This window comes from Homo sapiens, chromosome 2 (assembly GCF_000001405.40).
Source record: "Homo sapiens chromosome 2, GRCh38.p14 Primary Assembly".
Lineage (NCBI taxonomy): Eukaryota > Metazoa > Chordata > Mammalia > Primates > Hominidae > Homo > Homo sapiens.
The window spans coordinates 165049885-165052093 of NC_000002.12; positions in this window are offsets into that span (position 1 = coordinate 165049885).

The window sequence follows — 2209 nt, forward strand, 5'->3', positions numbered from 1 at the left end:
TTCCTTCAAAAGTGAAGAAAAAATATTAGACAAACAAAAACTGAGAAAATGTGTTGCCAGTAGACTTGCCTTGCAAGAAATGTCAAAAGACATTTTTTAGAAAGAAGGAAAATAATATAGGTCAGATACTTAGTTCTATATAAAGAAAGAAAGAACATCAGAGGAGGCAAAAGTTAAGGTAAAGTAAAAACTTCTATTTTTCTTATTTTTAATTGACCTTACAGATAACAGTTTGTTCAAAATAATAACAACAATTAATTCAACTGTGTATGCTTATATCCAACTATCTATCTAGATATGCTTATGTATACTTATGTATAAGTGAAATGAATGTCAATAATGATACAAGGGATGGAAGAAAGGAATTGAGATTATTCTGTTACTATAAGATACTTGTACCACCTGTGAAGCTATACAGTGGCATTTGAAAGTAGACTTGGATTAATTGTAAATGTATAATTCAAACTCCAAGGCAACAACTAAAAAAAAGTAAAAAATAAAGTATAATTGGTATGCTAAGAAAGGAGAGAAAATGGAATTATATAAAAGGCTCAATTAAAACTGCAAAGAGGCAGAAAAAGTATGAAAGACAAAAAGGGAATGAAGAACAAAGGCAACAAATAGAAAATGGTAACAAACATGGTAGATATTAATTTAACTATATCATTTATTACTTTAAATGTCCATTTTCCAAATATAACAATCAAAAGCCATAAATTGTCAGAGTGGATGGAAAAATAATCTCCAGCTCTATGTTGTCTACAAGAAACTCACATTACACATAAAGACATATATACATTAAAGGTAAAGAAATAGAAAACCTATACCATGCTAACATTAATCAAAGGAAAGCAGTAATACCTATATTAATTTCAGACAAAATAGACTTTAGAGCAAGTAACTTTATTGGATAAAAATAGGCATTGCATAATGATAAAGGGTCAATTCCTCATGAAGACATAACAATGCTTAACTTGCATGTGCCTAAAAAAGGAGCATCAAAACAAGTGAGGCAAAAACAGATAGAACTGAGAGAAGAACTAAACGAATCCACTATGTAGTTGGAGGCTTCAACACCTCTCTATTAGAAATGAACAGATTCAACAGACAGAAAATCAGTAAGAATGTAGTTGAACTCAACAACACTATTAATCAACTGGATATAATTGACATCTATAGTCTACTTCATCTAACAATAGCAGAATACACATTCTTCTCAAGCTCACATGGAATATTTACCAAGAAAAGCCACATTTTGGGTGATAATACCTACTTTAATAAATTTTAAAGAATAGAAATCATACAATGTTTGCTCTCAGAACACAGTGGAATTAAACTAGAAATCAATAACAAAAAGATAACTGGAAAAATCCCAAAATACTTGCAGATTAAGCAAAACATCACTAAGTAACATGTGGATCAAAGGAGAAATTTCAAGAGATGACAAAAAAAAATTTAATAAAATAAAAATAAAAGCACAACAAAATTTTGGGGATGCAGCAGTGAAAGTAGTGCTTAGAGGAAATTTTTTAGCATTCAATGCATATATTAAAAAATAAGAAAGATTTAAAATTAAGAATCTTAGTTTCTACTTTAAGAAACTAGCAATGGAAGAGCAAATTAAATTCAAAGTAAGTAGATGAAAAAAGATAATAAAAAATAAAGCAGAGATCAATGAAATTTAAAACAGGAAATCAACAGAGAAAATCAACGAAACCAAAAGCTTGTTCTCTGAAATTATCAATAAAACTAATATGCCTCCAGCCAGGCTAAGAAAAAAAGAGAGAGAGAGAGAGAGAACACAAATTACTAATATCAAAAATCAAAGAGGGGACATTACCACAGATTCCATGGATATTGAAAAGACAATAAAGGAACATTGTGAAGAATGCTATGCCCATAAAAATAATAACCTAGATGAAATGGACCAGTTCCTTGAAAAGCACAATCCGTTAAAACTCAAATAAGAAGAAATAGACAATCTAAATAGACTGATACCTATTAAATAAATTGAATCAATAATTAATAACCTTTCAAAATAGAAAGAACCAGGTCCAGATGGGTTTACTCATGAATTCTACCAAACATTTAAGAAAGATGTTACACTAATTTTCTACAATATCTTCCAGAAGATAGAAGCAGAAAGGAAGACTTTCTAACTTATTCCAAGAGACCAGCATTATTGTAATACTAAAACAAGACAAAAACA